The sequence below is a fragment of the Homo sapiens genome, chromosome 20, assembly GCF_000001405.40.
Source record: "Homo sapiens chromosome 20, GRCh38.p14 Primary Assembly".
Lineage (NCBI taxonomy): Eukaryota > Metazoa > Chordata > Mammalia > Primates > Hominidae > Homo > Homo sapiens.
This window is the reverse complement of record NC_000020.11, coordinates 10,570,989-10,586,137: the sequence shown is the minus strand read 5'-3', so window position 1 is coordinate 10,586,137 and position 15,149 is coordinate 10,570,989. Positions and strand designations below refer to the sequence as shown.

Genomic DNA, 15,149 nt, shown 5'->3' with positions numbered 1-15,149 from the left:
GAGAGATATTCAAGGGACACTTTAGAGATGAAAATCAGAGACAGGCTTGGTTGTCAATGAAACGTGTTCAGAGAAGACTGATGACAATGACAATTTTTTTTAACTTTGTTGACTACATGAGTGGTAGCTTCCTAAGGTATAGAGAGGGTAGGTAGGCTTGGTAAGATAAACCAAGCTTTAGAGATGAGGATCAATGAGATTTCTGGGTGAAGCTGTTTGGAAAGCCAATAGAAATAAGGTGTGCAGTGGCTGGGCACGGTGGCTCATGCCTGTAATTCCAGCATTTTGGGAGGCCGAGGCAGGTGGATCACCTGAGGTTAGGAGTTCGAGACCAGCCTGACCAATATGGTGAAACCCTGTCTCTACTAAAAATATAAAAATTAGCTGGGTGTGGTGGTGTGCAACTGTAGTCCCAGCTACTCAGGAGGGAGGCTGAGGCAGGAGAATTGCTTGAACCCAGGTGACGGAGGTTGCAATGAGCCAAGATCATGCCACTGCGCTCCATCCAGCCTGGGTGACAGAGTGAGACTCCGTCTCAAAAAAAGAAAGAAAGAAAGAAAGAAAAAAAAGGAAAGGAAAGGAAAGGAAAGGGGAAAGGGGAAAGGAAAAGGAAAAGGAAAAGTTGGAGTTCAGAGGAAAAGTCATGGCTGCAGATCTACTGAAGCAACTCTGGCCAAAAGGAAGAAAAGTCCATGGCAGAGCATGTCAAGTGAGAGATCAAAGGGCAAGGGCAGGACCACTCTCAAGAGTCAGCAGAGAAAGAGGGGCCCACATGGAGTAGTTAGATCAGAAGAAGGCCAGCCACCATAGTGAAGTCTTGGAAAAGAGAGTTGAAAGATCAAATGCCAGAGAGCATTAGTGACAGCAGAAATAGAACAAAATACTCAGCTGGCAATTGAGAGGTGATTGGTAGCATTTCGGAGGTAGCTTCAGGGTGGAAGAATAAATGAGAGTATGAAAGAGGACACAAAACACAAACATCTGTTCTGGGAACTTTGCAAAGATGAGAAGCAGAAAACAACACAGGAGCTTCAGGGGAAAACATTAAATTAAAGAAAGATCATTGTGTGTTTCTTCTTTCATGTCACACTTCTGTTTTTGTTTCCCAGTTGCATGCTTGCTTGCTTTCTGCTTTTTCTTTTTATGTAGTCTGTTTTCTATTCTACATTTTCTATTCAGCATTTGTCTGTAACAGACATTCCTCTTAATTTTGTCACAGTCATTTGGAATTTCTATCCCATTTTATAAGGTGCTAGGTCTTTTACCCATTTTTGATGCATTCACTCAAGTCATGGATGAAAACACTAAATATTCCTAAAACTTATCATCTCTTCTACTTCCTCTTCCAGTTATTAAATAATCCACTATCAAGCTCAAATAAGCATCTATCTACTAGTCTAGGGTCTTTCCAATTCCCAATCATGAGTCCACTGCCCATATCTAAATCACTTGGGAAATTTGAATCTCCAAGGCTGAGGTCTTTTCCAACCATACAGATTCCTGGATTCCCAGGCCCAGAGAACCTGGGGTGAGAGCCAGAGAACTACATTCTTTTAAAAGAGCTCCAGGGAATTCTGATGCTCAGACAGGTCTGGAAGTTACTGCTCTAAATCTTATTTTGTTGATTTACTGGTATGTTATAATGAAATTAGTAGTGAGAGTCTTATTAGAGTAATGGTAGTGCTTTGCAGAGTTCTTAGAAGACAAAAACAAAATGTAAGTTCTGTCAGTGAATATAAGAGGTTATCCTAGTTCTTTAAACACAAACAAACAGGCCTTTAGCTGGATTCTATAGCAACAGTGAAGAGGCAAGGGGAGACAGCTAATTTCTAAGCCACTCAAGGCCTAAACTACTGAAGCAATTTATGAGAAGGCAATGCATATTAGCTCAATTATTATCACTCCTCCAGGGAATTTAAATGAACCGGTCTCATGCCTTCTTTGTTTTCTTTTCTTTCTTTCTTTTTGTTTTAACTACCTGCTGATTTGCGTTTTTATAGGGGAAAAAAAACCCACCATGTATGTGCTTTTTATTTTTATCTTCTATTATACAAGTCCTTAAGAGTTCACATAAGATGTATATTGGGCTGATATGTAAGCCTTATGATGATAGGTATGCAATAACTTACCATCTTAATTAAGGTGCTAAATTAGATCTTACATAGACTTAGATTTAAAAAGGAACTATGTATGCTAACACCCAGGTTTTATTGCAAAACATTACCTTGATATTTTTATCTTAATTGCCTGAATTAAGCAAAGTTTCAGAAGCCTACGTAAAAGAGTCTTTTAAATTTTGTTTTGCTTAAACAGTATTTACTAGTAATATAAATACCTAATGAACAAATCTAAAATACTGATTAATTTTAAAATCATAAAAAGCTCCATTTTCATTGTATATACATTGTTAGCGTGAAATTAGAAGGGATACAACCAGAAATCATGTGTTGCCAGATGAGATGCAACAGAAAACACACCCCACATACCACAAAGTATTCTCACACAAGGGACCCCAGCCTCATCAGGCCTGTGGCTCAAACCACCAATCCACAGAAAATACAAGGGGCTGGAAGAGGCAGGTTAATGCCACCATCCGGATGCAGCCAGCCAAATCCAAATGTGGGAAATTCCAGAGGACATTTGACCCGCTTTCTTAAATAAACAGATAGAAAAAAAATTGGGGATGAGGGTTCCTACAGGTTAAAGGAGGTGTTCTTCTATGATAAAGATAATCAACCGAGTGCAATGAATGTGTACACCAACCTTGTTCAGACCCTGAATAGAACAACTCAACTATAAAGGAACTGAAGAGACGTTCAGATAAATCTGAAGATGGACTAGATAGTTGATGACATTACTTTTTTGTCTTTAATGGCGTTTTTAACATTTTAAAAATCACTTCTCTTTTAGAGCTCTGTATGTTGAATCATTTATATATAAAATTAAATGACATCCAGAATCTACTTTAAAATAGTTGGGGGAGCAGGGAATAGATGAGCATATAAATGAAATAACATTGGCTATATGCTGTTTAAAACTGGGATGCTGGCAACAGATAAGTGGGGGTTCATTATATGATCCTATTTTTGTATGTATTTGAAATTTCTGATGTTTTAAAAAATGAAAGTATTCTTTTAAAGATTTATTTGTAAAAAAGAAACACCACCATGAAAATATTCAGGGCCTTTCAAGATGATACATTTTTTTCTTCTAAATATTTATATTAATATAGACCCTCTTCCAAAGTCTCAGAACATAAATCATGATTAAAGCTTATTTTTTTAGGTAATTTCCTAACCCTGAAAATAACATTTTATAAGGAAGGCAAAAGTATCTTTTATTATGTTGTGAACTATAACTATAATCTTTAGAATAATTTTTCTAAGTAGATAACAATTTAAAGGAAATCTAAACAAAAATGATCTAATAGGTGATTGTAAAGCTCTTATCTTCCTTAAGCTTAAATTATCATACTATTGTAAAATACGAACAATAACTTCACCCTGAGATTTTTAAACTAGTGGCCCAAGTTGAAAATATAGATTTATAGATACATAGTTATAGATACATACACACACATCTTGCAGACTCAAGCCAGATTACCAACCCGTTAAGCATGGAATAGAAAGTGCACCATTCAATAAAAATATCACCTTGTACTAAACAGGGCTAATCTCTGAAAGCTGAATTGGGGAAATCTGAAAGCTGAGATAAAGGAAACCTTCCTGCTAAAAACACAGAATGCAGGTTTTAAAAAAACAGTTTACATATGTAACGCAAACAAAATGGAAATATTAAGGAAATACCAGGAACAGAGGGAATTTAAAATAAGAGTAGGAAACAAACAGACTGACACTCTAATGGCCTATGGAGAAGTGTCAGATCAGGTGTCTGGGAAGGTCTAAAGCTGCATCCTGCCTGCACCCTGCCACCTCTCCAAGATCCTGGTCCCCACTCACTGACAGGAGTACACACAGCCCTGTCATTCCATGAAAACTTCACTTTCCTTTTATTTAGATATTTTTCCTTTTGTTGCACACTGAGAATTCACCATTCCCTGGGGCCTCACAAAAGCTCATAACATTTTATTATGCCACATTTCCCAGCTTCCTGGAGATCCACCCCACGGAATCACTTTTCATCACTGTCCTTCAGCTGTTACAAATGCAAATATTTTCAAGGCATTACTCAGCTCTCAGTCATCCCACTTCGGGTGAAGATGTTTCCAGTTACAGGGGGCTTTGATGGTGGACAGTGGCGTGATCATAGCTCACTGCAGCATCAAACTTCTGGGCTCAAGCGATCCTCCTGCCTCAGTCTCCCAAGCAAGTAGGACTCCAGGTGCACACCACCACACTCAGCTAATTAAAAAAAAATTTTTTTTTGTAGAGATGGGGTATCACTATGTTGCCCAGGCTGGTCTTGAACTCCTGCTCTCAAATGATCTTCCTGCCTTGGCCTCACAAAGTGTTAGGATTACAGGCATGAGCCACTGCACCTGGCCTCTCCCTTTGTTTTACTAGAAAGTCCGCATGGTGTGAGACTTTTCTACCTGGCATTTGCAAATACTTGATACTTTACAGTGCTTTGGGGTCTCTGAAAGAGGATCCTGGAGAAAGCTCTGAGTTGTAAAGCAATATCCACACAATCAAGGGTAATAATACACTACATCTTGTTCAAACTCAGGCACGTTCTGTCTCTCTCTTTTCTTCCTGGACTTGTGCATTTCACTGGTTTGCTAGGTTTGTCTTCATCTTTTCTCAGTGGCAGATGTCTCCCACCAAGGTTCTCACATCTAAGGTTCTGTATGAAGCCACCTGTAAGGTTCTGTATGAAGCCAAATATCACTACTTTTCAGGATTTTCTCAACATCAGCCCTGCCCACACCTCCTGCTATCAGCTCCCTGTCCCTCCATCTTGTCCCATGGTCTTCCCCAGGCTGCTGCTGCTCTCTACCACCAGCACCTACTTCTGGACACACTGCTACTCTGCTTGTTTGCATCATTCAAACCCCTTCCCCATGCATTAGAGCAAGTCTCACTGTTTCTCAGCTCTCTCCTCAACACAGCTTTTCTGGAAAAAGGCTTTTTTGGGGCTCAGAAGAAAAAAAAAGATTCCTTAGAAATGGCATTAAGGCCAACATTGTTAAACAAGTCTGGGCTGTACACCTTTGTCTGGAATTATTGTCAATCATTTCTATTAAATATCACATTCATGGTGAGCTATTACTGAGTTGGCAGTTTGGCAGCAAACTGGAGTATATATGTCTGTATATGTGAGGCATTCCACTAAAAAGGGATTTTACTCTTTCTTAATCTTGAAAATGATTTCAGTAGAGGAGTTCCAGGAGCCAGTATGAACAGGAAATGGTTATGCTTTTTTCATTCTGTCAAAAACCAGGTGCCCCTCAAATAGTAATAATCGAACCGGAACCATCCAACTCATGCCACTTGCACACCTACCACATATAAGTACTATGTGAGGTCCTAGGGGTATCAAGAAAAATGCTCTGCTCCTGAGGGACTCAACTGAGGGCAGAGGGAGAGACAGAGGAGTTAAAGGTAGGATGGTTACATTGTAAATGCTACTGCAACAAAGGTAGGCATAGGCAACTGCAATGTTAAAAAAAAAAAAAAAAGGGTAAGTCTAACTTAACAAAGGGGAGTAACAAACCAAATTGGGAGGAGGGAGATCCTCAAGGATGGGAAACATTCAAGCAGAGGATTAAAGCATCAGGAGCATTCTGCTGGGACTGAGAAGCGGAGGGCACTGCATTCATATCTGTGCAAAAACTCAGACAAGTCCTTTTGGCTCCTGGCAACCCTGGTAGGGTAGACTGACGCCTAGAGTTCAGAATGCATAGAATAATAGAGAGAGATGGGGGACAAGCCTGGAAGGGTGAACAAAGGAGGTTAGATTTTAACCTGGCCTCAACTTTAGAACCTGAGGGAAAGGATTCTGAATGAGAATTAAAGACCCATGAGTGCCCTCAGTCATACCTTGCAAATACTGGTGACTCACCACAGTTTTTCTGCCTATGAAGACCTTGACTATAATGAGGATAACTTTTATCTTCATTGATTTGGTTAAAATGGAACAATTAGAGTCAAGAAATTTGTGAAAGGTTTAATTTAATCTAAATCTCTGGAGAAGACCACTGGCAAAATCAATGGTACTTTATTAATTCATTAAAATTCAGATATTTATAACAATTTAAAATCATGTTTGCACTGGCTAGGTTAAAAAAGATTCTTGATCCTAACTAGTAAATGCCAGCTTTGACCCTGCTGGGAAGAAAAAAAAAATAGTTCCATTAAAAGAATGAGAAGACAATTTCAAATTTACTATAAAGCTACAGTAATCAAGACAGTGCAGTATTGGCATATGGAAACACATGTAGAAACAGAATTGAGGCCAGGCACGGTGGCTCACGCCTGTAATCCCAACACTTTGGGAGGTCAAGGCGGGTGGATCACATGAGGTCAGGAGTTCGAGACCAGCTTGGCCAACATGGTGAAACCCCATCTCCACTAAAAATACAAAAATTAGCTGGGCATGGTGGCGGATGCCTTAATCCCAGCTACTCAGGAGGCTGAGGTGGAGAATCGGTTGAACCTGGGAGGCGGAGGTTGCAGCGAGCCGAGATCACACCACTGCACTCCAGCCTGGGCGACAGAGAGAGACTCTGTCTGAAAAAAGAAAAAAAAGAAAAAAGAAAAGAAAAAAAAGAAACAGAATTGAGAGTCCAGAAATAAACACTCACATTTATTGTCAACTGATTTTCAACAAAGGTGCCAAGAAAATTAAATGAGGATAGAATAGTCTTTTCAACAAAAGGTACTTGGACAACTGGATATCCACATGCAAAAGAATAAAGTTGGACCCCTAACTCATGTCATATATGAAATTAACTCAAAATGCATCAAAGACCTGAATGTAAGAGCTAAAACTATAAAACTCCTTAAAAAATAGATGTACATTTTTATTACCTTGGATAGGGCAATGGTTTCTTAGATATGATATCAAAAGCACAACAACAACAACATAGATGAATTGGACATCATTAAAATTAAAAACTTTTGGGTATCAAAGGCCACCATCAAGAAAATGAAAAGAAAATCCACAGAAGAGAAGAAAAATGTTATAAATCATATAGCTGATAAGGGACTTATATCTAGAATGTTTAAAAGAATTCCCATAACTCAATAAAAAGACTAATAACCCAATTAAAAATGGGTTCAAATCCTGAACAAACATTTATCCACAGAAGATATACAAACGGCCAGTAAGTACTTGAATAGATGGTAACATTATTAGTCATCAGGGAAATGGAATCAAAACCACAATGAGATAACACTTCATACACACAGGACAGCTATAGTCAAAAAGACAAACAGGTGTGGCTAAGGATGTGGAGAAAATAGAAGCCTCATACACTGCTGGCAGGAACAGAAAATGCTGCAGCTACTTGGAAAACAGTCTGGAAGTTCGTCAATATGTTAAACATACAGGTACAGAATGACCCAGAAATTCCATTCGTAGGTATATAGCCATGAGAAATGAAAACATATGTCCACTCAAAAACTTGTACACGAATACCCATAGTAGCATTATTCATCATAGCCAAATGTGGTTAACAACCCAAATGTCCATCAATTGATGAATGGACAAAATATGATAGATCCATACCATGGAACATTATTTGTAATAAAATGAAATAAAGTACTACTGATATGTGTTATAAAATGAACGAATCTTGAAAACATTATGCTGAGTGAAAGAAGCCAGTTACAGAGAACCACATGGTGTATGACTCTATTTGTATGAAATGTCCAGAACAGGCAAATCCATAGAGACAGAAAGTAAGCTGGTGGTTGGTTGTCTGTGGCTGGGGTATTGGGGAAAATGAAGAGTAACTGCTAATGGGTAAAGGGTTTCTTTTGGAGTGATGAAAATGTTCTCAAATTGATTCTGGTGATGGTTACACAACTCTGAATACATAAAAACCATTGAACAGTATACTTTAAACAGGTGAATTGTATATGAATTATATCTCAATAAAGCTGTTATTAAAAAAATGAGAAGTATTCTTCAGCTAAATGGATTGTTGACAACTGTGTTCCTCATTTTTAAATCTCTCAACTAAATAGTTAGGAAGAATGAGGCTTTCCTGTAAGTGAAAATGTCTGAGATTTAAAAAACGAGATATATAATTATTCCACCACACTGGTAAACAACAAGAGGCTACAATGGAAATATGGAAACAATGTTTCTCATCATTTTGACTGATTCAGCAAATCAATCTATGAGTATTTGATGGTGAATTCTATAATTTTCCAACAGTAGGCTTCCTGGCCCTACAGTCATCCTAATTAAGCTTCATTGTTGTCATTCATTCATTTCTTATTATCATTAAAGAGACAGGGTCTTTCTCTGTTGCCTCAGCTGGAGTACAGTGGTATGATCATAGATCACGGCAGCCTCGAATTCCTGGGCTCAAGCCATTCTCCTGCCTCAGCCTCCTGAGCAGCTAGGACTAGAGGTACGTGCTGTCACACCCAACTAATTTATTTTTATGTTTTTTTGTAGAGACAGAACCTTGTTATGTTGCCCAGGTAGATCTTGAACTTCTGGTCTCAAGCAATCCTTCTGCCTTGGTCTCCAAAGTGTTGGGATTAAAAGAGTGAGCCATCATGCCAGGCCTTATTGTTATCTTTCAGTTCATTAGAATACTATATAGTACTACAGCCTTCCTAAGTTTACTCAGCCTAATTTTCACTTTTATAAAAAGCTAGAGGAAAAAAAGATTGAATAAGCTAAAAATGAAGGGGGGAAAGCATGAAAAACCCTCATCATAAGGGCATTATTTATAAATTCTGTACACTTTTGTTATGAAAACACTAGTATTTTACTAAAATAAGGGTAAACTTAAACAATACAAAAATCTCAGTCTTCTAGAAGTTCACACTACCTTGAAGGGCAACCAAGAAGCTGTTTTATTTTCAAATATATCTAATAAGGATTTGTTAAGTTTTTAAAAAATATTTTCTATTTAAGTGAAGCTTTTGCAAATCATTCTTGTAAATAATGAGAATTTCTTCCCCGCAGAGGAATACTTTCTATTTCAGTGTTTCTAAGAATACACAGGGTTAAAACTGTGTAAAATATATTTTCTCACAGTTGGGGGAGAAAAAAAACACCGCAAATAGGAAACCAGACAGCTAGGGGGGTCAAAACACTACACTTCCAGGTCAGACTTCTGGTTGCAATTAAGTAAAATTCCTGAAAATATTTGTAAGGAAATCATATTTTTGGTGTCCCCTTTCAGGTCTTATAACTTTTATTTTCTTTAGCAGCAACTTATATTGTGGGTATATACTTATCTATTCATTCATTACATACACACACACAAACACACAAATATACACATTTACTTGGACACATACATTAATCTATGACCCAGAATTGAAATTCAATCTTGGCCTAAAACTTAAAACTAGCATCTTTTCCAGGCATTCATTTTTTATGCGTGAGATCATGTGGAGTTAGTTTTGTTTTTGCTTAATGTAGGCATGGATAATTTTCTCAAGACATTTCACAAAACAGATCAGGCCAAGTTTCCCATTAGGTTATGTGGTTCATGATCAAATAATTAAAATAAATGTGAATCTGATTGGAGTTTATGCTCTAAGTAATAAGGGCATTGTGGTACAACAACAAATATAAACAAGCTATACAATTAGGTGTACCTGAACAGTTATTCACCATGCCTCTACTCAACTCCCTGGGAACAGCCCAGGGATTCTTAATGCTTCACAAATAAGCACCTCACTCTGAATCTGTGGCAAATTCACTTAGAGACAGTATAAATGTCTATCGTACCAAAGGGAGTCAATTCCCCTGCCCAGTTTATAGAAGGTATTATAATGAATATAAAATTATTTTGATCATGAACAACTGAAGTGGTTAACTAAAATATTTAGTAACCATAAAACTTCACAATTGTAGGTTATCCACTTTTATTCCAAATAATTAGAATAATTAGGGTGTCATGTTAGGGAATTTGAAAATGAAAGCTCTCTTGTTTTTAATCAACACTTGGGTTAGAATCCCCCAAATTCCCAAGATATTCAGGTAGCAAATCACGGTCCCAATGTGTTAGACCACAGTGTACTATCCTAAACAAGGCCTCTTCACTCATCCTTCAAACACTTCAAAATCAAAGGGCTCTTACTGATATTTAGTCGGTAAGATAACTAGTATCCATTTTCTCCTTCCAGCTTCCTTATGGGTGTTAATATTAGGAATGTGAAACTCAATTACTAGAAATTTGAAAATCCGGGCATTATGATGGGAGGTCCTGGCCAAAGGAAAAAAAAAAAATTAAAAGGAACAGACAAGCTGGTGAATGCTACAAGTACTTCCTAGATAAGAGAAGGCTTTTCATTGCTAAGGTGTAATGGACCTGAAATTCTTGAGAAACAAACAGTACATGCTAAGGTAAACAGTTCCCACTATACCTTGTCATCCTACATATTAAAAATATGTATGTTACTCCTATGAGAAGCAGCCACTGTTATATTGGGGGTGGGGGGTAGGGAGAGCTTTCCTGATTATTATTATCTGTCAAACACAGGAGAAGTTGCTGCCTTCTAAGACTTCACCTGGAATGTGTCAAAGGAAAGTACAGCCTTGTAGGGGTCTCACTGTCTCCCTGTATGCCCCAGCCCTCACCCCAATACATTATTACCCAATGCTATGTGGCAGCTAAACCGTTCAGACAATATAAAACCAGTGCCCCAGGTACTATGTTCCCAACATGCTGGAATAAATGACTTTCACTGGGTCAGGACTGTTCTCTTCTGCTGGGTAAAATGGAACTACAGGCCTCCCATCCAGTTGTCATCGTTAGAAATACTGTGACCGAACAGATCACCAAAAGAAATGTTTTTAATCTCACCCCACATCAATTTAAGGGCAAGTGATTTTCCTTCCTATTACTTTTCCTCCTACTCCTAGTGGGGCAGGAATGCCAACCAGTTCTACCTGACCCCAGTGGGGACCTGTCTTTGGAATATGTAGTAATAAGTCATCAGTCTTCATGGAGCTAATGAGAGGGCAGGGCTCTGAGCTAACTGGAACAACTCATTAAAAAAAAGTCTTGCGGTCAGGCACGGTGGCTCACGTCTGTAATCCCAGCACTTTTGGAGGCCAAGGCGGGTGGATAACCTGAGATCAGGAGTTCGAGACCAGCCTGGCTAACATGGAGAAACCCCGTCTCTACTAAAAATACAAAAATTAGCTGGGCGTGGTGGCACGTGCCTGTAATCCCAGCTACTTAAGAGGCTGAGACAGGAGAATCACCTGAACCTGGGAGGTGGTGGTTACAGTGAGCTGAGATTGCACCACTCCAGCCTGGGCAACAAGAGTGAAACTCCATCTCAGAAAAAAAGTCTTGGAAAGTAGCATTTGGTAACAGAGATCTTTCAAGAATCTAAGAGTCCTGGGGTATTTGGTAGAGCTGTTGTGAGCTTTCCAGTTCCCAGATATGCCGAAAGTCTGGTTGTAAATGTGAACAAGCCCAAGCAGATGCAAAAGTAATACTGGAGTTGTGTCACCATAAAAGCTCCATCAGAACTGGCATTGTAATTTGAAGCAGAACAAAGGCAATATGAACTTTGTTTTATGATGGAAAAATTATCTTTCTGATGTGTGGGGTAGTGGGTTCAGATGGGTGAGATGGGAGAGAAAGAAGCAGTATGTTCACAGCAGGCCAACAGGATCATTCTAATAAGGTTTATACTTACATGGGAAAGGTCTTGTAATGGTTCAAATTGAAGTTTGACAACCTCTGGTCAAAACAATTCTAACCTTTCTGGAAGATTTGTACATCACGTTTTTTTGAATTTTAATTTCTTGTAAAAATTAAAAGTAGACAAAAGTATCAGTCACTGCAACTCTGGCTATGTCCATAACAGGTGATGATAACAAGTGGAAACATTACCCTTGAAAGTTTAGAAATTTTGTTTACTTTCCATTTACTGTAATAAGTGGTTAGAGAAGTTTCCCCAGTTTTTGAGAAAGCAAAGCATTTTGTGTTGTCATTGGTGCTTTAGCACACTTTTGGTAAAAAGTATAAAACTTCAAGTTTTACAAATTACCCATTCCTGAAAAAATAATCTTTGTTGAAATTGCAGCACATTCACCAGACAACTTATTGGCATTTGCTTTCTCATTATTGCCCTTTCAAGCTTTACATGTGTGGATAAAAGCCTATAAAATGTTTTGATTGAGTCCATTATGGGAAGAAATGTAAATAATAACCAAAGCTATTTAAACATTTGTAAAAAGAAAACACGTTTCCACAGTGCTTTATGAGAGATCTAGGGAAATCCACTTCTATTTGTAAAGGGCTGTGAATAGAAAAAATACAATGTCTAAACAGTAAAAATATTTAATAGAACAGCAGACAACTGAAAATGTGCTGTGCAGTTTGACTGTTGCTAAAACCACATGAGTGACTATTTCTTCCCCTCTTAGTCCTCCTCCATGTCTGCTGTGGAAGTCAGAGAACTACCTAGCTTGCTCTGTGACTGCGGTACAGTTCCATTCCTACTGTGCATGGGTGTGCACAATAGGAGCACATTCTAACTGCCCATTGTAATAACTGACTCACATAAAAAATGACTCTTAAAAATAGAATTACTTGTCAAGGGCCTATGTTTATTCAGGGATCACAGTGGTTGGATGTACAGTACTTGTTATTTTGTTGTTAATGTGTGAGAAAAACACTGACTGAAGGGAAGTCTATGGATGGTGTTTTAGAGCAAGTTTTCATTGTCCTCTGAAAATGCCTGAAGGTTTGTATGGAGGAAGGGCTGGGCTCTCAAAAGGGAAAAAGTATTTCACTTCTGAAATTTATTTTAAATAGGAAAAGGCCCTGTTTTCAAAGGGCTGGGAAAATAAATACAAAACAAAACACCACATACACAAATTTGCACTCGCGGGGATGCCGGGGAGAATGGCTCACAATGAGCCTGTGTCTGAAGAGCAAGGAGAAAGCTTTTTTTGGCAGGTATCATGCATCGGGTGTTGGGGAAAGTTGAGGAACATTTCTCAGACAGAGGAAAGAATAGGAAAAATTTGCTTGTTTTGGCAATTCTTGTCTTTTTCTTTTTCGCCTCTTGTCGTGTGAACACACACTGATTCCCCAACATGGTGGTAATGTGCCCCACCACAGAACGCTGCTTGGGAGGTGAGTGTTGACGAAGAGAGAGAACACCTTGGTAATTCGTCCTTGAATGTTCACCAAAGATACCTCGGATGCCACAGAAGGGTGAGCAGAGGGCTAGGTACTTTGGCTACAGATATAAGCTAAGATTTTAGAGAAGCATTCAGCTTAGAAGAAATGCCAAAAAGCAGGCCACTGCAGACAGAAACCACAGTACCCAGGAAAATTTAATTTATTTTATGGCATTTTCCAAAGGACTGGGTTTCTTAGATGTTAACTACAAGAAAAGGTTATACAGAATAGAATAATAGGCAGTAAAAAAAATTTACTGTTACTGTTCCACAAACAGAAAAATGTCCTGAACCCTATTTAGACAAAATGCATTGAGGCAAGTGCTTACAGCTGGAAGATGAGCTCTGTTTGGGGGTCTATTTCTCCCTTTCCATCTCATGATCAGAGAATAGAGAATATGAACTTTAAACCAAGATACCCACATGGTAATTCAAGCAGAATACTGCTCCTAGTTAATTTAAAGACAGATGTGTTTTTATGATTAGAGGAAAATTGTATTTAAAAAAACCACATAAACATACAATACTCTCCTTAATAGGGATACCAAAGCAATGAGGACAAACCCGGTGTCAGACAGTGGAGTTTTCATGTGGCCTCTGACACTTCCTAGCTAGTATCTGATCTTTGGGCAAGTTACTTGAACCACAAATCTGGCTCTCATCTGTAGAGAAAGGGTTCTAAAGCTTAGGAATGGTTAAAAGAAGGGCTAAGAAGCCTGGCTAGAAAGGACTGTCTCAGGGATCTGCCATGGGTAGGTGGAAGATCTAACCCAGAGCCAGCATCCGAGGGGTGGACGCTCGGTAAGGTACCTGGGCAGGATAGTAATACTAACAAAGACCTGGGGTGGGGTGGGGCTGAAGGGAAGGTATTTCCTGTCCCTGGAGTCAGAAGATGTTGCAGCCTAATCTTACACTGGGGTAAGTTGTGGTTTTGACTTTCTGAAAACCAGATGAGAAAAGCTATTCAATAATTTGTAATTCACAGGCCACTTTCATCTCTGTGTTTTGTGTAAGGGGCAAGAGATGTTGCAATGGAAACATGCTGTAAAGTCTCAGCAAAGAAAATGGGACCTGTGAGCCGTAACAATTCATTTATTTCTCCCAACACTTGTGCTCTGACAGGCTCTGCAGTGGGTGCTGAACAGGACAAGACTCCTGTCCTCAATGAAACTGAAGCCTATCTGTGAGGCAGGGAAGCAACTGGAACAATGAGTGCTGCTACACCAGAGGGTGAGCAGGGAGAGAGGAAGGGAAGTGCTCTTGAGAGAGAAGCTACACAGAATCAGATAAGGCTCCTTGGAGGAGGTGATACCTGAGCACAGGCTGGAGGATGAGGAGGGCACACACAGGGGAGCAGAAGCAGTGTGTGCAGAAGCCCAGGGTGAGACAGCAGCACACTCTGGGGATGGAGTTAGGGGAGAGTGACAAGCTGATCAATGACCATGGGCACTCTCTGGGTTTGCTGGCCAAGGCCATCTGGGAATAATGACTCCTAGTCCCTGGGGAGAGAGGATCCTCCTGAACTCAGCCGACTGCAGGTCTAGCTGGAAGACTGCAAAAGCCTCCAGGTCCTGGGCAACTGGCTTGTCCAGCATACTCCTAAGCAGCCAGACTGCTCGGTGCCCGAACCTGGGACTCAAATGTTTGCCACCCCCAACTCCACAAGGTCACTTTTATGCTGCCCAATAAAAAAGGGTGATGCAGGCCAGGCATGGAGGCTCACGTCTGTAATCCCAACACTTTCGGAGGCTGAGGCAGGAGGATCACTTAAGCCCAGGAGTTCTAGACCAGTCTGGCCAACATCGTGAGACTCCATCTCTGCAAAATTTTTTTAAAAAAATAGCCAG

General features: G+C 39.4%; 1 protein-coding gene across 1 annotated transcript in view, besides 2 other annotated features; it reads right to left on the bottom strand.

The window, feature by feature from the left end:
• SLX4IP (SLX4 interacting protein) overlaps positions 1-15,149 on the bottom strand; it is a 192,726-nt gene that overhangs the window by 41,893 nt on the left and 135,684 nt on the right. The window lies entirely within an intron of this gene.
• Positions 7,243-7,537: a silencer, noted in NCBI's record as "tiled region #6934; HepG2 Repressive DNase unmatched - State 9:DNaseU, and K562 Repressive non-DNase unmatched - State 24:Quies". NCBI's record gives its function as "represses a minimal TATA promoter and a strong SV40 promoter by Sharpr-MPRA in HepG2 and K562 cells {active_cell/tissue: HepG2 | K562}" and the evidence as "EXISTENCE:reporter gene assay evidence [ECO:0000049][PMID:27701403]".
• Positions 7,310-7,510: a silencer, noted in NCBI's record as "peak4145 fragment used in MPRA reporter construct". NCBI's record gives its function as "represses an SCP1 promoter by STARR-seq MPRAs in K562 erythroleukemia cells {active_cell/tissue: K562}" and the evidence as "EXISTENCE:reporter gene assay evidence [ECO:0000049][PMID:32103011]".